The sequence below is a fragment of the Homo sapiens genome, chromosome 7 (assembly GCF_000001405.40).
Source record: "Homo sapiens chromosome 7, GRCh38.p14 Primary Assembly".
Classification (NCBI taxonomy): Eukaryota; Metazoa; Chordata; class Mammalia; order Primates; family Hominidae; genus Homo; species Homo sapiens.
Genome location: NC_000007.14, coordinates 62,316,307 through 62,341,851, shown reverse-complemented (window position 1 = coordinate 62,341,851; position 25,545 = coordinate 62,316,307). Strand labels below are relative to the sequence as shown.

Genomic DNA, 25,545 nt, shown 5'->3' with positions numbered 1-25,545 from the left:
TCGATGATGATTCCAAAGAATGGCATTTGATGACTCCATTCGACTCCATTCATTGATGATTCCATTGGATTCCATTTGATGATGATTCCATTCAATTCCATTCGATGATGATTCCATTCGATTCTATTCGATCATGACTCCATTCGATTCCATTCCATGATGATTCCTTTCAATTCCATTCGATGATTCCATTCGTGTCCATTCGATGATGATTCCATTCGTGTCCATTCGACGATTCCATTCAAGTCACTTCATTGATTCCATCCGATACCATTTGATGATGATTTCATTCGAGTCCAATCGATTATTCCATTCGATTCCATTTGATGATTCCATTCAAGTCCATTCGATTATCCATTCGAGTCTATTCGATGATTCCATCTGATACCAATCAATGATTCCATCTGATTCCAATCGATGATTACTCCATTCAATTCCATTAGATGATTCCGTTCGATTCCATTTGGTGATTCCCTTTGATTTCTTTCGATGATGATTCCATTCTATTCCATTCGATGATACCATTCTATTCAATTCAAACATGATTCCTTTCTATTCCATTTGATGATGACTCCATTCGATTCCATTTGATGATGACTGTATTCGGTTAAATTCGATGATGATTCCAACGGATTCCAATCAATTTCTCCATTCAATTGAATTCGTTGATGATTCCATTCCATTCCAGTAGATCATAATTCCATTGGATTCCATTCAATGATGATTAATTTCAATTTTATTCAATGATGATTCCATTCGATTCCATTCGATGATGATTCCATTTGATTTCATTCGATGATTCTATTTGATTCCGTTCAATGATGATTCCTTTCTGTTCCATTCGATGAGTCCATCTGCTTCCATTTGATGATGATTCTGTTCTATTCCATTTGATGATGATTCTATTCGATTCCATTCGATGATGGTTCCATTCGAGTCTGTTCAATGATTGCATTCAATTCCATTCAATGATGATTCCATTCGAGTCCATTCGATGATTCCATTTGATTTCATTCGATTATGATTTTATTCAATTCCATTCGATGATTACATTCTATTCCATTTGATGGTGATTCCATTTAAGTCGAATCAATGATTCCATTCGAGTACACTTAATGATTCCATTGGGTTCAATTCGATGATGATGACATTTAATTCCATTCAATGATTCCATTTGTTTCCATTCATTGATGATTCCATTTGATTCCTTTCAGTGATGATTCCTTTTGATTTCATTCGTTTATGATTCTATTCGGTTCCATTTGATGATGATTCCGTTTGATTCCATTTGATGATGATTTCATTTGATTCCATTCAATGATGATTCCATTCCATTTCATTCGATGATTCTATTCGATTCCATTCGATGATGATTCAATTCTATTGCATTCAAAGATTCCTTTCAATTACATTTGATGATGATACCTTTTGATTCCATTTGATGATGATTCCATTCGATTGTAATCAATGTTGATTCCATTTGAGTCCATTAGAAGATTCCATTCGATTCCATTCGATGATGGTTCCATTGGTGTCCATTCGATGATTCCATTCCATTCCATTTGATGATGATTTTATTCAATTCCATTCGATGATGATTCCAATCGTTTCCATTCAATGATGATTCCATTTGATTGCATTCGATGATTCTATTTTATTCCATTCAAAGATGAATCCATTCTATTCCATTCGATGATTTCATTCGATTCCATTCGATGATGATTCTATTCGATTACATTTGATGATGAATCCATTCGAATGCATTCGATGATGATTCCATTCATGTCCATTCGATGTTTCCATTTGATTCCATTCAACGACGATTCCATTCAAGTCCATTAGATCATTTCATTCGATTCCATTCAATGATGATTCCATTTGATGCCATTCGATGATTCCATTTGATTTAATTCAATGATGATTCCATTCTAATCCATTTGATGATTCCATTCCATTCCATTCGATGATGATTCCACTCGAGTCCATTCGATGATTCCATTCGATTCCATTCGATGATGATTCCATTTGAGTCCATTCGATGATTCCATTCGATTCCATTCAATGATGATTCCATTTGAGTCCATTCGATGATTCCATTCGATTCCATTCGATGATGATTCCATTTGGGTCCATTAGATGATTACATTTGATTCCATTCGATGATGATTCTATTCGAGTCCATTCGATGATTCCATTGAATTCCATTCTGCGATTATTACATTCGAGTCCATTCAATGATTGCACTCGATTCCATATGATGAAGATTCCATTCGATTCCATTTGATGATCCCATTCTATTCCATTCAGTGATGATTCCATTCAGGTACATTAGATGATTCCATTCAATTCCATTCGATGATGATTCTATTCATGTCCATTACATGATTCCATTTGATTCCATTTGGTGATGATTCCTTTCTATTCAATTTGATGATGATTCCATTCGTGTCCATTACATGATTCCATTCGATTCCATTCGATGATGATTCCATTATATTCCATTCAAAGATGATTTCATTCTATTCCATTCAAAGGTGGTTCCATTCTATTCCATTCAAAGATGATTCCATTCGGGTCCATTAGATGATTCCATTCAATTCCATTCGATCATGATTCGGTTTGATTCCATTTGATGATTCCATTCGAGTCCATTTGATGATTCCATTCGATTCCATTTGATGATGATTCCATTGGAGTCCATTTGATGATTCCATTCGAGTCCATTCAATGATTCCACTCGACTCCATTTGATGAATCCATTCGATTCCATTTGATGATAATTCCATTCGTGTCCATTCGATGATTCCATTCGAGTCCATTCGATAATTCCATTTGATTCCTTTCAATGATTCCATTCGATTCTATTTGATGTTTCCATTCGAGTCCATTTGTTCATTCCTTTCGTGTCCATTCGATGATTCCATTTGATTCCATTTGATTATGATCCCATTTGATGATGATTCCATTCGAGTCCATGTGATGATTCCGTTTGATTCCATTCGATGATTATTCCATTCAAGTCCATTCAATGGTTCCATTCTATTCCATTCGATGAGGATTCCCTTCAAATCCATTTGATGATTCTATTCAAGTCCATTCAGTGATTGCTTTCCATTGCATTCGATGATGATTCCCTTTGACTCCATTCAATGATGATTCCATTTAATATCATTCTATGATTCCATTCGATTCCATTCGATGTTGATTGCATTCCATTCCATTCGATTATACTATTCGATTATTTTCGATGATGATTCCATTCGAATCCATTCAGTGTTTCCAGTTGATTACATTTGACGATGATTCCTTTCGATTCCATTCAATGATTCCATTTGATTCCAATCGATGATGATTCCATTCGAGTCCATTCGATTATTCCATTCGATTCCATTCAATTATGATTCCTTTTTAGTCCATTCAATGGTGATTCCATTCGATTCCATTCCATGATTCCATTCGATTCCATTCGATGATGATTGCATTCGATTCCATTTGATGATTCCCTTCGATTCCATTCAAAGTTAATTTCATTCAAGTCCATTCGATAATTCCATTCGATTCCATTCTCCGATGATTCCATTCAAGTCCATTCGATGATTCCATTCAATTCCAGTTGATGATGATTCCATTCGAGTCCACTCGATGATTTCATTGGATTCCATTCAATGATGATTCCATTCGAACCCATTCGATGATGATTCCATTCGAGTCTTTTCAATGATGATTACATTCGCGTCCATTCGTTGATGACTCCTTTCGGTTCCATTCGATGATGATTCCATTCAAGTCCATTCGATGATGATTCCATGCGATTCAATTCGATGATGACTCCTTTCGGTTCCATTTGATGATGATTCCTTTCGGTTCCATTCAAAGATTCCATTTCAGTCCGTTTGATGATTCCATTTGACTCCATTTGATTCCACTTGATGTTGATTCCTTTTGAGTGCATTCGATGATTCCCTTTGAGTTCATTCCATGATTCCTTTTGATTTCATTCGATGATGATTTGATTCAATTCTGTTCGATGATTCCATTCAATTCCATTCGATGACGATTCCTTTCGAGTCCATTCGATGATTCCATTCAAGTCCATTTGATGATATTATTTGGTTCCATTCGATGATGATTCCTTTGAATTCCATTCGTTGATGGTTCCATTCGATTCCATTCGATGACGATTCCATTCAATTGCATTCGATGATGACTCCATTCGATTCCATTTGATGATGATTCCATTCGATTTCATTCGATGATTCTATTCAATTCCTTTCTATGATTATTCAATTCTTTTCCATTTGATGATTCCATGTGATTCCATTCGATGATGATTCCATTCGATTCCATTCGATGATGATTCCATTCGTTTGCATTCGATGATGATTCCATTCGGGTCCATTCAAAGATTCCATTTGATTCCAGTGAATGATGATTCCATTCGACTCCATTTGATGATGATGCCATTCGATGCTATTCGGTGATTCCATTCAATTCCACTTCCTGATGATTCCATTCGACTCCATTCGATGATTCCATTCGATTCCATTCCGTGATGATTCCCTTCAACTCCATTCAGTGATTCCATTTGATTCAATTTGATGAGGATTCCATTCGAGTCCATTTGATGATACTATTCGATTCCATTCGATGATGATTACTCTCGAGTCCATTCGATGTTTCCATTCGAGTACATTCGATTTTTCCATTTGAATCTATTCGATGATGATTCCATTCGATGCCATTCAATGATTCCTTTCGTTTCCATTCAATGGTGATTCCATTCGTGTCCATTTGATGATTCCATTCAATCCCATTTGATGATGATTCCATTTGTGTCCATTCGATGATTCCATTTGATTCCATTTGATGATAATTCCATTTGAATCCATTCGATGATTCCCCTCGATTCCATTCAATGACTCCGTTCAATCCCATTCGAGGTTTCCCTTCTATTGCCTTCGATGATCATTCCATTTGATTCAATTTGGTGATTCCATTTGATGATGATTCCATTCGATGATGATTCCATTTGATTCAATTTGATGATGATTCCATTCGCTTCCATTTGATGATGATTCCATTCGAGTCCATTCAATGATTCCATTCGATTCCATTCGATGATGATTCCACTCAAGCTCATTTGATTATTCCATTCGAGTCCGTTCAATGATTCCATTAGATTCCATTCAATAATGATTCTATTACATGCCATTCAATGATTCCATTCGATTCCATTCAATGATGATTCCATTCGTGTTCATTCGATGATTCCATTGGTTTCCATTTAATGATGATTCCATTCGAATCCATTCCATGATTCCATTCAATTCCATTCGCTGATGATTCCATCCGAATATATTCGATGATTCCATTTGATTCCCTTCGATGATTCCGTTTCATCCCATTCGATGATTCCCTTCGATTCCATTCGATGATCTTTCCATTTGATTCAATTCGATGATTCTGTTTGATTCCATTCGATGATGATTCCATTCGATTCCATTCAATGATGATTCCATTCGATTCCATTCGATCAAGAGTCCATTTGATTCCATTTGAAGATTACTCCATTCAGTTCCGTTTAATGATGATTCCATTCAGTTCCATTTGATGATGATTCCTTTAGATTCCATTCGATGATTCCATTCGATTACATTTGATGATGGTTACATTCGATTCCATTTGATGATGATTCCATTCGATTCCATTCGATGATGATTCCGTTTGATTCCACTTGATGATGGTTACATTCGATTCCATTTGATGATTCCATTCGATTCCATTCGATGATGATTCCATTTGATTCCATTCGATGATGATTCCATTCGCTTCCATTTGATGATGATTCCATTTGATTCCATTCGATGATGACTCCTTTCCAGTCCATTTGATGATGCTTCCATTCAAGTCCATTGGATGATGATGCATTTTGATTCCATTCGATGATGACTCCATTCAATTGCATTCGATGATGATTCCGTTTGATTCCATTCGATGATAATTCCATTCTATTCCATTCGATGATGATTCCATTCCATTCCAGTTGATGATGATTCCATTCAATTTCATTCAATGATGATTCCATTTGATTCCATTCAATGATTCCTTTCGAGTCCATTTGATGATGATTCCTTTCAAGTCCATTGGATGATGATGCCTTTTGATTCCATTCGATGATGACTCCATTTGATTCCATTCGATGAGGACTCCATTCTTTTCCATTCAATGATGATTTTGTTTGATTCCATTAGATGATAATTCCATTCTATTCCATTCCATGACACTCCATTCCACTACATTCCATTCAATCCGATTCCATTCCACTCCATTCCACTCCTCTCCTCTACACTCCACTCCATTGCTTTCCATTCCATTCTATTCCACTGCTTTCCATTCCATTCCTTTCTTTCAAGAGTGTCTCTCTCTGTCACCCATCCTGTAGTGCAATGGCACAATCTCATCTCTCATTCCATTCCATTCCTCTCCATTCAGTTCCATTCGATTCGATTCCATTCCATTCCATTCTATTCCCTTCCATTCCATTCTATTCCATTGCATTCCATTCCATTCCATTCGAAAAAGAAAAAGAGTTGCAAAGTCATACTCACTTTTCTGCTCTTGTCAGTCAATTAAGGGTTCCTTGAATACTTCAGCCCTAATAATTTTCTTTTTATCATACATATTGCAGTGCTTAACTAATTTTAAATGTATTTTTGGTTCAAAACCCAGTTTCTTATTTGGTCTATCTGTATGTTTGCAATATATTTTACTCTCTGTTCATTGTGATAACCACATGTTATCATTCATAGGTGGGTATTGAACAATGAGAACACATGGACACAGGAAGGGGAACATCACACTTTGGGGACTGTTGTGGGGTGGGATGAGTGGGGAGGGATAGCATTAAGAGATATACCTAATGCTAAATGACGAGTTAATGGGTGCAGCACACCAACATGGCACATGAACACTTATGTTACAAACCTGCACATGGTGCACATGTATCCTAAAACTTAAGGTATAATAATAAAATAAAATAGAATAAAATAACAAAACATACACTAATACAGATTAACCAAGTAAAAAAAAAATTGTAGAGAAAGGTCATTTAAAAAATATGAAGGATAGAGTAATAATATAACACGTTGAAATCTAAGAAGGAGAAAACAGCTTGTCTGAACAGCATTTTAAGTGGCAATGTTAGAGGTTTTAACAAAATTGACCAATAATATTAAACGACAGGTTCAGGAGGATTTTCCAAGCAAAGGAAAGCACACACAGAGGACACATCTAGAAACATAATGGGACAATTTCTGGAAAGTAAAAGAAAAATGTAAAGAGCACCTGATAAAAAAAATTGGGCTAACTACAAAGAGAAAGAGTTGACTGATAACAACTTTCTCAAATGAAACAACGAAAGCCAACAAGTGAGGTATTGATATCTTTCAAGTCCTGAAATAAAATAAGTGCTGACATAGAACTGTCTACTTGGTGGACATATCCATCAAAACAAAGATACAATAAAGAATTCCTCCCAAGCAGACCCACAGGAAAAGAAATACTAAAGATTATTCTTCAGTTAGAAGGGCCATGATCCCTGATGAAAATTTGCAGTTAGAAGAACAATTTTTTAATGAAAGAAACAAACATAGAGAGAAATTTAATTGGATATTGACTGTATAACAGAATCCTATCTGTGAGTTGGATAAATTAATTTTAAAATATTGTTGTTTTTTTTTTGGAAATAGACAGATGTACCAATTATATTAGACCCTGAATTCAAGAATGCATGTTGTATTAAACCAGGTAAAACATAACCAGACCAGATATTTAAATGGACTCTCTTAAAGTTTTTATTTTATATTCATATTTCACATATGTTGAAAGTAAATAATGGAAAAGCATACAATGCAAATATTAACCAAAATATAGCTTTAGTTGTACTTAAATTCACATTTTAAAGTTGGACACAGTTAAGTCTCAGTGATTTTTTTTACACAACGGAGGCAACCTGTGCAGTTATAACTAGTATTATATTATGCTCTTGGCCTGATTACAGAAGGGAAAGGGGAGATCATACCAGACAATGGCAGAATGAAGCAACAAGGAGTAGAGCTACAGAACATGATGCTGTAACTGGGACTGGAGTTGCGCTTTTAGAGTTAAAGAATAGTAAACTGGACAAAGTATATGAAACATTTTTTTGAAGTACTGAACAGCAGGCAGCACAGTACTGTGCTCTGCAAGAGAAGAGAAGGAGCCAGAATGAGTCCTGCTTTATTCCCAGATTCTCCGAGACAGCAGTAGAGAGGAATCCCAGAGAGAACAGACATTGTCATTGCACTGAGGAACCCGATAAAAATCAAAAAAGGTTAAGCAGCTGGAATGTGTAGTAGAAGAGAACGTTTACAGAAAAAGGAACCAAGAATCAGCCTAAGGATTCTCCCAAGTCCCTAAGCCAAATGTACATAGGATGAAATTCTAAGGAGCTGAGCAAAGGACTGTACCAGGGAGTTGGAAGAAGAACATTTCCCTGGCATCACATGACAGGAAGACACATTAGCTCTGACCAGCCAGAGAAGGGAATCCCCTCTGTACCTCCAGGATATTCAGAAAAGACCACTGGAGGTTCATGCCCTAGTGACAGTGCTCATGTAGCTCCAAATTACAGATGGCTCTAGACTAACTCGACAAAGTTTAAAGAGAAGATTTAAAACAACAACAGACAAATACTCATCCTGAAGTTACTGAACTGCCTGCCACAACATTGTTCAAAGGTAGCCAATCAAATCTAGATATTCAATAGCATAACACCAAAATACCCCCCAAAAAAACTCTGACATGCAAAGAAGCTGTAAGATAAATATAATTAAGACATATATTAACAGAATAAAAATAAGTCATTTATAAATGACAGAGAAGAAGGAAATTTCAAGGTCCTTAAAGTAAATATATTTTATAAATACATATAGATAAATACATATATATGTCAAGGTACTTAAATGAAAATTGAACATAGGAGAAAAATAGAAGTTATAAAATGAAAAATGTGACATATATAGATGAAAAATAAATATTTGAAATAAAAATTCCATGAGATAGAATAAGTAATGGATTTTACCCTAACATCAGAAAATTTATAGAACAAAATAGAAGCTTTACAAACTAAAGGACAAATGGTAAACTAAAATAAGAAAGCCAGAAACTCACTGATACATCAGACAATATGCAGCAGTGTAACATACATGCAATCAATATCTCAAAAAGGATGGGTGGGGGAATTATAGGTGAATAAAGAATGGTACACTCATTCCTGAGGGCACCGAGGAGGGAGGATAGCTTTAGATTCCTAAGGGAGGGTATTATCCATTCATGAAGGTCCAACCCCCCATGAACAAACACCTCCCAGTGAGCCCCACCTGCAACATTGGGGATAAAATTTTAACATGAGATTGGAAGGGGCAAGCATTCAAACCATAGCAAGTGTTACATTTCCTTTTTAAAAAAAAATCACTGACATGATTCCATTTTGTCATAGATAAAAGCTAGTATTTCAGCCTACCATTGAGTGTGCTTATAGTTCACCAAAAGGGCACTCTGTCTCGGGAATACAGATTTGCCTAGAGGTATCCTATTGCAGTCAAAGAAAGAACAATGAGGCATAGAAAAGGTTAGCAATGGAGACACCAGTGCTGCATTTTGCAACAAGCAATGTGAAAACTTTATGTATTGGTTCTGCTAACTTACTACAGTTTACATTCCCCTCAGGAGGGAGAATTGTTGCGTTTTTTCTTAAGATAGAAAAGCAATTCAGATAATCTGAAATCTCCACAAGAAGGATAAGAAGCAGAGCAGACACTATTCTAGGCAGGAATTCAATCCTTTCAACTGTCTGTGCTCCATAGAAACAATTGTCTGCAATGGGATTCACATGAGGTACAGACCACAGCCAGACCTCTGATCCTCTCATTAGTGATTTCAGAAGAAATTACCAGTCAACTGAGTAATTCACTGAGTAAAGTAAACATTTGGCACTGAAAGAGGTTAGACGCATAACTATTTGTATCACCATATTCATGAAGCTGGAATATGTTCCATTACTCGTATGACATCGGAATGGAAGATATTGAAAGGTCTCTCACCTTGTAAGATGGATATGAAAGAACATTTTCTGAGAAATGAAATTATTAACACACCTGCGAGGTGGATGGAAGAGAAAAAAAAAGAATAATCAGCTTGAGTTCTTCTCCTTGATAAGACAACTCACTAAAAACATAAAGAGAAAAATACAAGTTTAAAATAATTAACCAGAAGAAGACGACTCTAGAGTTTTTAAATTGCTGATAAGATTTTAATTTGCTCCAAGTTAAAAATAATTTTATTGCTTGTGTTTTAAGGCACATAATGAGCAATTATATCACACATGATAGTTTCAGCAGTAAAATATCCGTTAACAGCTGGAACTCATAAAAGCATAGCACAACATAAAGATGGAATTTGCTAAAATAAACCATCTGCTGAAAACTACTATTCTGCAAATTTAAAAATAAAGTTTAAATGTTATTTGTCTTATTTAATAGGTCTGAGAAAAAAATGCTATATTTGAAAAGTAGGTGCTACCTTAATTACTTCTTTATGTTAGAGGGTTGGTTACAGTAACTCACAGTAAGGTGCTACATAGATATATTGCTAATTTTCTGCATATACTATGTATTTGGCTTAAAGTATTTGAAATTTTATAGTTAAAGTAACAAATGTATACTTAAGTGTTATGACACAAATTGCAAATATACATTTAAAAAGCGTCTTACACTCTAAATATTATTTGTCACCTATATATTTGTCTTTTCTCTATAGGAAAGTTTAAACTTTTCCCTTGAAGCTTTAATTATTTGAGTCTATAAAATAAATTGATAATGTACAAATTAACAGGAAAGAAAGGTTTACAGATATGTGCACAAGTATGCACTTGGAGTTTACATAATATATATAATATATCCATACAAATATTTGTATATTAATAACAGATATACAAATATATACTATATATATAAAAACTCCAGGAAAGGCAAGGTAGTCAACACGCCTATGCTGTCTTGTGGTTACAGAAAACACAGAGCTGCAGGTTGGTAAATCGGGCTTTGCAGAAGAGAGGTGACGACAAGGAAGAAAGAGGAGCCTGGCAGCAGAGGTGGTCTTGTTACATGGGTGAAATCTCACAGGGAGCAGCCCTCCTCTTGGGAAGTATAGATAGGAAATGGTTTATAGAAATATAAACGTGCCAGACTTAGTTAATCTTTCCTAAACCCAGACAAGGGAGTATCCCAGGGAAAGCCTGTCTATATCAATGCAGATTTTCTCTACAAATACAAATCTCCCCAACAAACACAGCTTTTCAGCTATTTTTGTAGAAGAAGCTATCTCCAGTCTTCCGAGTAGCCATCTTGAAATATGTCAAAAAGCTGGCCAGGCGCACACCTGTAATCCCAACACTTTGGGAGGCTGAAGTGGGTAGATCACCTGAAGTCAGGAGTTGGAGACCAGCCTGACCTACATGGTGAAACCCCATCTCCACTAAATACAAAAATTAGCCGAGTGTGGTGGTTCATGATTGTAATCTAAGCTACTTGGGATGCTGAGCTAGGAGAATTAGTTGACCCTGGGAGGCTGAGGTTGCAGTGAGCCAAGATTGTGCCATTGCACTCTAGCCTGGGCAATAAAAGCAAAACTCCATCTCAAAAAAAAGGCATTTTTGGGTAATATTTTGAGTATCTTTGCCTCCATATGTACAATAAATAATATTGTGATTTTTAACCTTTGCTCTTCTGTGGAGAAAACACAGGTGTGATTTCTAGTGTAGCTGAACATCGTTTATTTGACAATATTGCAGTTGTGTGTGGGTGTGTGCCTGTGTAGCTACTCTTTCATTTTGTTCTCACATAATGATTAGATATTAACAATTAATTCAGTAAAATGTATGTTTTGCAATATTTCTCCATTTATTATGCTTTAAATTAGTTGAATCATGCCCCTATAATGTGTACATTTTAACCTTTGACTATAGGTCTCAATCTTACTTTGGATCCTGCATTTCAATTTATGCTAATAAAGTCCTACAGCTAAAAAAGATCATATAAACTTATCTACACTTTTACTAGTATTCTGGTGTCATTTTAAATTATGTAATGAAATCAAATTTTAATTTGGATTATTGTTATCTGAGTTAAGGATCTAAATTTTTAATTTTCCTATAAATATTACATAATTATTTCTGAACCATATATTGTCTAATCTGCCCTTTATATGATGTGCATTATAAGAGCTTGGGATTGTTTCATTTGCAAAGATGAATGCTTGAGAAGTAGATATTTAATCATAAGAAAATGTGGCACATATACACCATGGAATACTATGCAGCCATAAAAAATGATGAGTTCATGTCCTTTGTAGGGACATGGATGAAATTGGAAACTATCATTCTCAGTAAACTATCGCAAGAACAAAAAACCAAACACGGCATATTCTCACTCATAGGTGGGAATTGAACAATGAGATCACATGGACACAGGAAGGGGAATATCACACTCGGGGACTGTGGTGGGGTCGGGGGAGGGGGGAGGGATAGCATTGGGAGATATACCTAATGCTAGATGACAGGTTAGTGGGTGCAGCGCACCAGCATGGCACATGTATACATATGTAACTAACCTGCACAATGTGCACATGTACCCTAAAACTTAAAGTATAATAAAAAAAAAAACATTTCAAAATCTACTGGATAACCTAGAAGTGAAAAATAGCCTATAGGTTCAAAAACTCCTGTAGTGAAGAAAGAAAATAACTAATATACAGTGACAATATAAATATTATAAATATTTATTTTATTACCACCCTGAAATTTGATAATACAAACATGTAATAGCTACATATCATCCATATATCAGGTCATAAAAAATCAACACATTCTTCAAAAATTTAGCATAACAGAAAATGCACTCTGTCTCCTTGATGGAATTAAGGTAAAAATAAAAGTAAAAATAAGTAGATAAGTAGATGGAAGTAGATGTTTAAAAACAAAGAAAAATATTTGTTTGGGATAACATAAAATCTCAATTGACAATTCCAATATTTCCAGAACATTGCCTGTCAACTTGTGTAGAGTTGTCCCCAGGAGATATTTGTCAATGTCTAGGGTTATTGTGGGGATGTCAAGACTGGTGGAGGTGTGAAATTTAGAGGTCAATCGAAACACCTAGCATTGCTAGGGCAGCCTCCCACAACAAAGAATCCTCTGGTCCTAAAGGTAAGTAGCACCAAGGTTGAGAAACCATAATCTAGACAGGAAACACTACGTAGCTATTCCAAGTGCTCAGGAAAACACATCAGTGCCCTCGAGGGGAAAAGTGTAAACATTTTAATTGCTGCACATGGTGACACAAATCCATGTTGTTAATCTAAGTGGAATGGGCTGAAGAACAAAACGTAATTCAAAGAGATTACGTGAGCCACAATGAGGACAGCTGCCTGGAAGAAACAGACCCAAGTATCCTTGGATATGAACTCCCTTTGGAGCTTTGCAACAAGCAGTTTCTTAAAGGCAAAAATGGTTCCAGAAGTGGGATGATGCAAAGAGGTTTGTCACAAATTCTCATTGGCTTATGGAAATAACATTTATTAGTGACTGGCTATACACTGTTACACTATTATTGGGTGTGGGTTATAGTGTCTAGTGTGGCGTTATTGGTTAATTTATAGCTACTGTGGCAACAGCAAGCAGCCTAGATGAACACACAGCTCAAAGAGGAGCAGGACAGAACTGCTGTCTCATTTGAATATCTCTCTGGGCCTGATTATTTAAAAGGACTTGCATTTCTCACATGAAAGTTATTTTCTTTTCTCAATGTCCATAAATGAGAATAAATAGACATAAAATAGATCTTTTCGAGGATGAAGAAAACGGAATGAAAAACAAAACCCAAGCTGACCAGAAATCATAGAGGGAAGAAAACATTATAAATATATGGATTTTTCAAAGTGATTTTAAACTGTTAGGAATCAGTTAAATGTTGGGGGATTTTGTCTGAGAATGGTCTAAAGGAGAATGTCCCTTTTGCCTTCTGAAGTTTCCCTGAAAATCACTAATAGGAGGCAGATAAATAGTAGAAAAGGCATACAGGTTTCTGCAATGTGTGTACACTGGAGCCCTTAGAACGAAGACCCAGACACACGATGCGTGCAGAAGCTTATCTACCACATGAAGTTTACAGAAAGAATGGGGTCTTGGATCACAGGGAAAAAAAGAGGAAGGTTATGTGAGGAAACGACCCTGGCTAGCAACAGTGGGCTTATTACATAGGTGGAACCTCACTGGGAGCAGTCCTCAGAGAGAATAGACAGAAAATGTTTCTTTCAGACCTTTGGAGACCTCAGACTCTCAGTTAAACTTTCCTAGATCCAGACAAGGGGGCAGACCTCATAGAAAGCCTGGCTGCATCAAAGCTGATTCTATACCGATAAAAATCTCCCCAAGACAACTTTGCAGCTAACTTTGCATTTCCAGCCCTTCTCAATAGCCATTTTGAAATATATCAAGGAAATATATTTAGGGGTAAAATATATTAGTTTTCCTCATACAGCTATAAAACATACAGGAATAATTTTTGTCAATGTCTACTACAAATCCAATATAGCAGTAATTATAAAACCCTCCAGATATTGAAGAAAAAATATGTAGTGTACCTGAATTACAAATGTTGATACTAAAATGCTAAATAAAATATAAATAATATCCAACAATATTTGAAACAGTAAGACAAGAAATTGCCAAAAAAAAAATAAAACAAATATCCACCTTGGGGATGAAAGTGTGTTTCAAAATTTGGTAATCCAATAATATTACTAATCATATTGATTAGCCCAAATTAAAAATAAATAGGGGATACTCAGTACATGCTAAAATATATTTGTCAAAAGGTTATATTCATGTCTTTAAAGATTTTAAATGTTATAAAGGGTCTGATATACTATATGGAAACATGTGTATGTCCATTAGAAGAAGAGAGGCCTGATTTTCGTGACACTACAAAGAGATAGAGAAGTGGATAGATTAATTTGCATATGCATAGAGAAAGCATAACATAGAAATTTACTATCATATTAAAGGAATTTTAATTCAACAATAAAATAATTCAAAGGTAAAATTTTAAATAGTTTTAACTGGTACATTTTTATTAGATAATATTTATAGTAATTGTGAAAATATTCAATGCTAAAATAAGATACAATGTCTAAACATCAGTATTAAAACTAGTATAAATATTTGCTTGTTTATACAAGGAAAATTCAAGCTCGACCTAAAATTATATGGGAATTAAAAGAAAAATTTTAAGGGAGCTCTTTAATAACATAATCATATGTATATATACACACACACATATAACAGGAATATATGTTATATGGGATAGATATAGATTTAACATGTTATATCTGTATTTGTATCTATAACTACAGCTGTATGTATCTACATTTCTATATACTTAGTGATATAAATATAGACTGGAATAAATACAAAGACCCATATGATTCTTGGATAAAAAAGATTTAGTATCATAAAGACAAATCCTTTCCAAATTCACTTATGAATTCACAACAATATACAGTTTCATTAGTATAATTTAAAATTTTTAAATAAATTCCAAGATTCATTTAAAGGAATATACATGTATACAAGCAGTCAAGAAAGAAGCAAGAGTGCACTAAGATAACATGCTATTAAAATACATTTTTAAACTTAGTCACTAAAACTGAGCAGTACTGATTTGGAGTACTGGAATTTAGGTTTATGGGATCTCAAAAGCACAGAGCTCAAAGGAGACCCCTGTATGCATGAGAGCTTAGGAAGTGCTTTAGAAGGCATTACCAAACCATGGGCAAAGTTACTTTAGTGTCTTAGTCTTACTAGGTTTGAAAAGCCAGAGAAAATACTCAAGAACATCATATAAGAGCAAAACAAAAGGACAGGGAGAGAATGTGAAGATACCGATACATTTTACATAAAGTTGTATAAAACATCCTTTAAAAAAAATATAAAGTTTAGGATATACATCAAAATCAGCAGAGCAACTAAATAAATAAATAGGCATTTTAAAATAGCAAGAGAAAATTTAAATGGATTTCTAAAAAATATTGACACCTATGGTTTTTAAAATATGTTTAAGAAATCCCGTATTTCACAGGGCAGCCTTTCACAACACAGATATGTTAGGACATAAAGGTCCTTCTGTTTTTAATTTACTAGTGTTTATAGGGTTACAAATGTCTTCTATCCTTGTCTTTTGTCTGATGGTGCAAAACATTTTCATCAGCATGTGTTTCTGAATGCCTGATGGATTGACATATATAATAAGCTGCTAATATTAAAATATATGACATAAAACGCATCCAATATTCTCACTGTTTACATAAATTCTAGGTTTCTCCTATTTACCTCAAGCACGTATGGAGCGAATTCTTACCTTTTAATATTGCCATGGCATTCACATTGAACATAAGTTGAACTCTCTCATATGGTAGCTGGGTTCGGATTCCCTTGAAAATTTCCAGTTCTAACCCTCACAGTTCCTCAGTGTGGCTGGCCCAGATATTGACCCTATACAGTTGCCTCCTCCTGGTGACTACCAGCTATGGAACCGTTGGATACAACCTACCTAACTCACCCCACAGACCTCAGAGTGCACATGGACAGCCCCCACACGCCACAGTGACCTGCTCAATTGCAGCGGGAGTCGAGAAATGTGCCTGCTGGCACTCTCCCCACCGACTAGTGCCCCGTGGTAAACTTATTTGGATAATGTTCTGGGCCCAATAAAGGCTGGAGTCCCACAGACCCCTCTTCTCTCTCCTGCTCCCCACTCATTTTCCCAATTTTGTTCAGCCCTATGAGGTGTGCTACTGTATTAGTCCATTTTCACACCACCGGTAAAGAAATGCCCAAGTCTTGGTAATTTCCAGAAGAAAGAGGTTTAATAGATTCACAGTTCCACATGGCTGGGTAGGCCTCACAATCATGGTGCAAGCTGAAAGGCACGTCTCACATGACAGCAGACAAGACAAGAGAGCTTGTGCAGGAAACTTTCCTTTATAAAACCATCAGATCTTGTGAGACTTATTCACTATCAGAAGAACAGCATGGGAAAGATCTGCCCTCATGATGCAATTACCTCCCACCTGTTCCCTCCTACAACATGTGGGAATTCAAGATGAGACTTGGCTGGGGACACAGCTAAACCCTCTTCTCAGCTACACTCTTCTCTCTGGATCTGTGAGTAATAAACCTACTTCTGTGATTTCCCATGTTTGGTTCTGTGGCCTCCATGTGTCTGAGCTGACCTACACTGGAACCTAACTCTCCTCCTGGCCAGGGTCTCTGAGAGTGGCTCTTGTCAGAAATACACAGGACACCGGTCAGGCAACAGTCACCAGGCATCTCCTAGTCTCAATAGATGTTCTGTGAGAGGGAGACCTGGTCGTGGGATGCACACCTGGCCACTGCTGGGGTGAGGAAGTGTCCTGTGAAAGGCACATGTTAAGCATCCACAACCTCCTGACCAGAACCCCAGAAAGGCAGAGCTCCAATTGACAGTCACTCTCCAGAGACAAACCTCAAGCCCTAACTGCAAGAAAAGAAAACAATGTAAAAAGTTGAATTTATCCTACTATTTCAATGATCCAGTAAAGACATTCTATGCCTGTACACCACATATTTTCTTTGATTTTGGATTTATTTTAGATAGAATTTTAGGTCTGGCTTTCACTTTAGCCTGGTCCCTACCTCAAGCATAAGGTAAAGATTTTCCATGCATTCTTTTCTGGTACTTCTACCTGCCAGTGTGGGGTCATGTCCTAGTCTACCTTGAGGGAATCCCCCTGTTCATTATTGTCAGAGTGAGACTGTTAAGTCTTGATTTCCCTGGACAACTTCACTGCATGACTTTTTATATGATTTTTTAATATACCCTTTACTGGACAATAAATTTTATAGTTATCTGAGAAAGAGATATGGTCAGGAAGAGGCATTGCTTCATTCAGCTTTTCTCTTTGGTGAACTCGCTTATGTTCTCCTCAACCGCCAGTCACCTCTAAACCGTATTGTTCCAAGACAACAAACAGAACTCGATTGTGTATCTTTCACCACTGGATTTGTGTTCGCTCCATAAAGCTTCATGCTTAATAGGGTTTCTGTTAGCATTTTCTCTATTTATTTTCCCATAAAATATCACAGGCCTTCTTCATATGGAATTATGGGTGATTTCCCTCAATCTTCATCATATCAAGTTTAGGTTCATGTTGATGAAAAGTAAAGCATACGTTGAAAATATCAGTAATGATGTTTTCCCTTCCTTTTTAGCACCTGTGCTTGTAATACAAGCACATTTTCATACAATTGTGGTCCCATGCTTTGATCATTCCTATGATGAAAATAACATTTTTAGATAAAATATCTGAGTTTCATGAGGCCTTTAGTATGTGATGTGATAGAATATCAGAAGAACATACTTTTTTCTAGTTGTCCTTGCAATTATATCATTATTTCATCTTTACTCCTACCAGAGTAATTTTGCAAAATAGATATCTTGTCATTCTTCCTGTTGTTATCAGTAAATAAGTGAAATGAAAAGCTAGATTATATAATTTATCTATAACAAGAAAGTAGAATTGAATCTATATTCATTAATGAGACTAACCAGTCAATTACACAGATAGACATTTTTTATTTTGAAGATCATATGGACCCATTGTCAGAAATATTATTATTTATATCTATATGGACATCACCTGTACACATTTACATAGAAATCAATGAGAGCTGATTTTTATTTTTATTATATATATTTTTTGAGATAGGTTCTTGCTTTGTTGCCCAGGCTGGAGTGCAGTGGTGCAATCACTGCTCACTGCAGCCTCAGCCTCCCAAGGTCTAGCAATCCTTCCACCTTGGCCTCCCAAATAGCTAGGACAATAGGTGCACACCACCTTGCCCACTTTTTTTTTATTATACTTATGTTTTAGGGTACATGTGCACATTGTGCAGGTTAGTTACATATGCATACATGTGCCATGCTGGTGCGCTGCACCCACTAAGTCATCGTCTAGCATTAGGTATATCTCCCAATGCTATCCCTCCACCCTCTCCGATCCCACAACAGTCCCCAGAGTGTGATATTCCCCTTCCTGTGTACATGTTATCTCATTGTTTAATTTCCACCTATGAGTGAGAATATGCGGTGTTTGGTTTTTTGTTCTTGTGATAGTTTACTGAGAATGATGATTTCCAATTTCATCCATGTCCCTACAAAGGACATGAACTCATCATTTTTTATGGCTGCATAGCATTCCATGGTGTATATGTGCCACATTTTCTTAATCCAGTCTATCATTGTTGGACATTTGGGTTGGTTCCAACTCTTTGCTATTGTGAATAATGCCACAATAAACATACGTGTGCATGTGTCTTTATAGCAGCATGATTTATAGTCCTTTGGGTATATACACGGTAATGGGACGGCTGGGTCAAATGGTATTTCCAGTTTTAGATCCCTGAGGAATCGCCACACTGTCTTCCAGAATGGTTGAACTAGTTTACAGTCCCACCAACCGTGAGAAAAACAAGCAATGGGGAAAGGATTCCCTATTTAATAAATGGTGCTGGGAAAACTGGCTAGCCACATGTAGAAAGCTGAAAGTGGATCCCTTCCTTACACCTTATACAAAAATCAATTCAAGATGGATTAAAGACTTAAACGTTAGACCTAAAACCATAAAAGCCCTAGAAGAAAACCTAGACATTACCATTCAGGACATAGGCATGGGCAAGGACTTCATGTCTAAAACACCAAAAGCAATGGCAACAAAAGACAAAATTGACAAATGGGATCTAATTAAACTAAAGAGCTTCTGCACAGCAAAAGAAACTACCATCAGAGTGAACAGGCAACCTACAAAATGTGAGAAAATTTTCGAAACCTACTCATGTGACAAAGGGCTAATATCCAGAATGTACAATGAACTCAAACAAATTTACAAGAAAAAAACAAACAACCCCATCAAAAAGTGGGTGAAGGACATGAACAGACACTTCTCAAAAGAAGACATTTATGCAGCCAAAAAACACATGAAAAAGTGCTCATCATCACTGGCCATCAGAGAAATGCAAATCAAAACCACAATGAGACACCATCTCACACCACTTAGCATGGCAATCATTAAAATGTCAGGAAACAACAGGTGCTGGAGAGGATGTGGAGAAATAGGAACACTTTTTTTTTTAAATTTTGATAGAGACTGGGTCTTGCTATGTTGCCCAGGTTGCTTGTGAACTCCTGGGCTCAAGGAATCCTTTCATTTCAGCCTCTTCAACTGCTGGTATTACAAGCATGAACCACCATATGTGCTGGAAGCTGATTTTTACAATACTGACATCATATAGATGACAGCACCTGAAAAATAGACAACACCAAGCTTTATGTTAAAAGGTGTGAGGGTGTCAATATTGTTGCGGCTATTGGGGAGGAAACCATTAGTAAAACCACTAAGTTAACGCTCTTGCTTTAAACTTTGGCTTTAATTTAGCAAATGTTCTATGGAGTGACAGTATGTATGTAACCATGCTATGCCCATTCACAGATGCAGTAGAGGGAAGAATTTCTCAAAGACAACTGTTCTAAGACTCAAATTAAACCGTACTGGGTTTGAAAAGAGAAAGTCCAGGAATTACCAAATATTTTAGATATCAGATACAAGAGAATGCCAGGTATGCGATGATAATCAGCAATGGTTGTTCACACAATACATCGAATCAGTATTTGAATTAGCTGTTGAATTACAAGGACAAATGGATCAATTCTAGACTCTTTAGTAGATAAATCTTATTAGGCTGAGATGTGTTTTCCCCTGTTTTTCCACAAGGAGATTACAAATTTGCAAACCTCAGCTGCTCTCATTTTATGCTCTCACCAAGCCAAATGCTGAAGTTCATCAATCAGTGTGTCTAAGTGTTCACTGGTTATATACCATTTTGTAGTGTCAGCTATCTTTCCAACGTCCTAAATCATCACCTTCATTTGATCTTGTTTTTTTCCACTATCACTTCTTTATTGACCATATAAAGAATATAAGTAAGTTCTTATTTTGTTATTGTTCATTTTAGTCTAATTTCATCAAAAGATCACAGTCTTTTAATTTCATTTTAATTTCAAAGATTAAATGAAACCTACATAGAAATGAGTGTAAGATTTGCATTTGCATTATTTTGGCATCAATTTGCTATCCTCCGTCATGCACATAGAGATCATTTCCATGTACGTGATTTCAAACATCCAAGTGCAGTATTAAATGCAGTTGTAAATTATGGTTCTCATTTTCATGATACAATTACAATATGAACTTCCTCTTGCTGCTGTAACCAATTACCACAAACTTCATATCTTACAATAAAGTGACCGTTAATCCTCGTAGTTCGGAAGCCTTAAATGAAACTCACAGGGCTAACATCAAGTTTTGGGCAGGGCTGCAGTCTTTCTGAGGGCTATTTGGCAGAATCTATTACTTGATTTTTTTCAGCATCCAGAGGCCACCTTTATTCTTTGGAACATGTCCTCATTCTTAGATGTTATATTTCTTTTTTTTTTTTTTTTTGAGATGGAGTCTCCTCCTGTCACCCAGGCTGGAGTGCAGTGGCATGATCTCATCTCACTGCAACCTCTGCCTCCCAGGTTCAAGTGATTCTTCTGCCTCAGGTTCCTGAGCAGGTTGGACTACAGACACTTGCCACCACGTCCAGTTAATTTTTTGTATTTTTAGTAGGGATGGGGTTTGGCCATGTTTGCCAGGATGGTCTCAATCTCCTGACCTCGTGATAAACCCACCCTAGCCTCCCAAAGTGCTGGGATTAGGCGTGAGCCACCGCACTCGGTCCTCATTCTTGTATCTTAAAAGTCAGTGATGTTGAGTAATTTCTCATGTCACCACCTCAAAGGTTGCCTTTCTTCTGCCTTCTTCTTTCACTTATAAGGAAGTTTGTGATTTCATTGATCCCACCCATTTAAGACAATCTCTTTATCATTTTTCCGCAACCTTAATTTCACTTGAAATCTAATTTCACACTGCCATGCAACCTAACATATTTGTATGTTAGACTCTGGGAATTAGGACATGAAAATTTTTGGGCGGCCATTCTTTTGCCTACAGCAGACATAATCTATTTACCTGCAGATTAAAGCGTTCTTTATTTTTATGTCTCCCTCTCTTAATTGTTTTAAAATAATATGAGTTGCATTAAAAAGAAAGAAAGAAAAGAAAACAAAGAAAAAGAAGGAAGGAAAGAAGGAAGGAAATAAAGAAAGAAGAAATAAAAGAAGGAGGAAATGAGGGAAGGAAGGGAGGGAGGGAGGAAGGGAGAAAGGCAGGAAGGGAGAAAACAGAAAGCATGAACAGAAGAAAGAAAGAAGGAAATAAAGAAAGAAAGAAAGAAAGAAAGAAAGAGAAAGAAAGAGAGAAAGAGAGAAAGAAAGAAAGGAGGAGGGGAGGAAGGGAGGAAGGAAAGGAGGAAGAGAGAATGGTAAAAGGGAGGAAGGCACGGAAACAAAGAAAAGAAACAGGCGAAGGAAGGAAGGAAAAAGGGGAAAGGAAGGGAGGGAGGAAGGGAGAAATGGATGGTGGGAGGAAGGAAGAATAAAGGAAAGAAAGCAAGAACGTGAGAAAGAAAGAAAGAATATGAGAAAAGAAGGAAGAAAAGGGAGGGAGAAAGGAAGAGAGGGAGGAGGGAACAAGAATAAGAGGAAAGAAAGAAAGAAGGAAAGAAGGAAGGAAGGAGAAAAAAGAAAGAAAAGAAAGAAAGGAAAAGAAAAAAGAAAAGAAAAGGAGGAGGAAAAGAAGAAAGGAAAGAAGAAGGCAAGGGAAGGGAAGAGAAGAGAAAGGAAGATGGAAAGAAGGAAGGAAGAACGCAAATATTAGAAATTCTGGGTTTGTTAGAGAATATGGCATACTGTTTTTTTTTCACTTGAAAGGAAAGAGTATCTGCCATTGAAGATTGGATGTCTTGATGATATTGTTCATCTTATCTTCCACATGATTACTGAGTTTGTGACTAGTCTTTCCATTACTAAGACAAAAGTGTTGAAGTCTGCAAATATAATTTTGGATTTTTCTAGTTCACCTTTGATTTCTTTCCTGTTTTACCTCATGTATTTGGAGGTTCTGTTGTTAGCTGCATACCCTAATTAGTAGGATGTTTACATCTTCTTGAGAATTGATTGATTATTCTATTATCTATTATTTCTCATCTCTGATACTATTTCTTGTTCCGAACTCTGTTGTGTCTAATATCAATGTAGTCCTTCCACAGCCTTATTTTAGTGTTTCCATGATATGGCTTTCTCCATATCTTGATGATAACCTATTTATATCTCTATATATTTGGAGCAAGATATAAAATTTAGACTTGATTTTTTAAAGATTTTTCAAGATGTAATTCTTATTTCTTTTGGTTCTATTTGACATTCTCTGAGTTTCCTATATTTGAAGTTTGATTTTCTGTCACTCCTTTTAGAATATTTTTGGCAGTTATTTTGAAAAATATTTCTTTGGCTCCATTATTTTTCCCTCTTTTCTTTTTGGGATTTCAATCATAACTAGAGTAGGTAATTTCATCTCAGTCTTATGCAGGTACTTTTTCTCAGGGTCTCAGGAATGTAGCCTTCTCACACCTCTGTTCTTTTTCTGGCTGTGTTGGTGAGCTCAGTGATATTCCTCTTTCACCTTCAAGAGCAGTTTTGTTTTGTTTTTCCTGTTTTCATACTCCCAGCATCAGGAGTATTCTAAGTGTGGCAGTTTTTGTTGCCTTCCCCTACATATTAAGTGGAACATCTTGGTCTATTTGGACTCTTATAACAAAATAACATAAACTGAGTGACTAAAAAGCAACAGATATATCCTTTTTTCACACTTCTTGAGGCTGTAAAATCTCAGGTCAAGATGCTCACAAATTCAGTGTTGATGAGAGCCCATTTCATGGTTCATAGATCGTGCCTTCTTTCTAAGTCCTCACATAGTGGAAGGCACACTAGAACTCCATTGAGCTTCTTTTATAAAGGCACTAATCCCATTCATAAGGGCTCGGCCCCCAAGACCTGGTCACCTCCCAAGTGTTCTGCTCTCCCTGATCTGTGTCATATACAGTCTCTCTTGGATTCCTTACCAATTGCTTGAGAGAAAGCAGTGGGTTTGTGGGGAAAAAATTTTCAAGATGATGGATCTTTCCCTACTTCTGCAGCTGTCAGCAGTCTCCCCATCTCACCAGCCCCACTTTGTCTTTAGGAATTTATTGATTATTCCAGCTTTACTTGTCATAGTGGTGTCTATTTGCATCTGTCCTATGTAAGTGCATCTGTCCTTTTTCTCCTTGCATGTGCAGGTACTCAGGAGTACACTGTTGTTACTAATTACTCAGTATTGGTTGGTACATTGTCAAAGATCAAACAACATTTTTAAAGATAAAAAAAATTCTTGGAGGTTGTGTAATGAAGGGTTAATTCTGCAGACATGGCTTTCCAAAACCTTGTGCATTCCAAAGGTCTTCAGGACTGGCCCTAGACAAGCTCCTGGGAGATGATAACCTATGAGCCCTTGGTATATGTTGCCTGATGAGAGTCTTTGTATACCTGAAAACGTGGGTCATATCAAATAGCTGATGCTAACAACGTGATTTCTTGTGAGCACCTGTTTCTGTATGCCTATGACTTTGTGTAATGCCATATTAATATGACCTCTCTTAGGGCATAGGGAGGTTGGGAATTAAGTAGCTAAGTTCAGTCACAGGACGCTCGATGCATATGTGGTGGAATCCTAATAAAAACCCTGGACTCAAGGCTGACTGAGCTTCCTTAGTTGGCAACAAGTTCACACATGTTGTCTCACACCATTATGAAGAAAATTAGTCAGTGTGAAGTCCCCACTATGAAAGTACACCTGTAAGCTCACATCTGGTTTGTCCTGGACTCAACTTTATGTGCTTTTATGCTTCTGATTATTTTAATCTGGTTTCTTTCACTGTTAGAAATTATAACCACAAAAAAATCAGCTTTCTTGGGTTATGTGAGTCATTAAACCAAAGAGGGACTTGGGGACCCCCAAGAAAATGTGTATATATTCTTAAAAAGAAAAAGAAAACTGGCTATAGCAGATATTGCTGATGACTTGTCTTCTATGTCCTGGACTCAATGTGTTCACCTGAAATTCACCTGTTTCCAGCTAACTGAGAGCTCCTCACATCATGCCTGTCTTTCTGATTTTTGGGCCTGCCTGCAAGCTTCTTGAGGCTAACCAGTGCTTCTCAACCACACATAGGAGCAAAGGAGTTAGGGGTGGAGAGTTAATGATTCTAAGGCAATCCTTAAGCAATAAGAGATGGGGATTCCAGAATCCCCATCTCTTTTTAAAGTTATTTTGACACAGTCGCAATACCTCCATCATTACTGAGCACATAGCAGT

General features: G+C 36.5%; 5 annotated features.

The window, feature by feature from the left end:
- Nucleotides 537–1,152: an enhancer, noted in NCBI's record as "OCT4-NANOG hESC enhancer chr7:61784951-61785566 (GRCh37/hg19 assembly coordinates)". NCBI's record gives its function as "activates a minimal SCP1, AML or CMV promoter by ChIP-STARR-seq in naive H9 embryonic stem cells {active_cell/tissue: H9 hESC(naive)}" and the evidence as "EXISTENCE:reporter gene assay evidence [ECO:0000049][PMID:30033119]".
- Nucleotides 1,153–1,769: an enhancer, noted in NCBI's record as "OCT4-NANOG-H3K27ac-H3K4me1 hESC enhancer chr7:61784334-61784950 (GRCh37/hg19 assembly coordinates)". NCBI's record gives its function as "activates a minimal SCP1, AML or CMV promoter by ChIP-STARR-seq in naive H9 embryonic stem cells {active_cell/tissue: H9 hESC(naive)}" and the evidence as "EXISTENCE:reporter gene assay evidence [ECO:0000049][PMID:30033119]".
- Nucleotides 1,770–2,386: an enhancer, noted in NCBI's record as "OCT4-NANOG-H3K27ac-H3K4me1 hESC enhancer chr7:61783717-61784333 (GRCh37/hg19 assembly coordinates)". NCBI's record gives its function as "activates a minimal SCP1, AML or CMV promoter by ChIP-STARR-seq in primed H9 embryonic stem cells {active_cell/tissue: H9 hESC(primed)}" and the evidence as "EXISTENCE:reporter gene assay evidence [ECO:0000049][PMID:30033119]".
- Nucleotides 2,387–3,003: an enhancer, noted in NCBI's record as "OCT4-NANOG-H3K27ac-H3K4me1 hESC enhancer chr7:61783100-61783716 (GRCh37/hg19 assembly coordinates)". NCBI's record gives its function as "activates a minimal SCP1, AML or CMV promoter by ChIP-STARR-seq in primed H9 embryonic stem cells {active_cell/tissue: H9 hESC(primed)}" and the evidence as "EXISTENCE:reporter gene assay evidence [ECO:0000049][PMID:30033119]".
- Nucleotides 3,225–3,841: an enhancer, noted in NCBI's record as "NANOG hESC enhancer chr7:61782262-61782878 (GRCh37/hg19 assembly coordinates)". NCBI's record gives its function as "activates a minimal SCP1, AML or CMV promoter by ChIP-STARR-seq in primed H9 embryonic stem cells {active_cell/tissue: H9 hESC(primed)}" and the evidence as "EXISTENCE:reporter gene assay evidence [ECO:0000049][PMID:30033119]".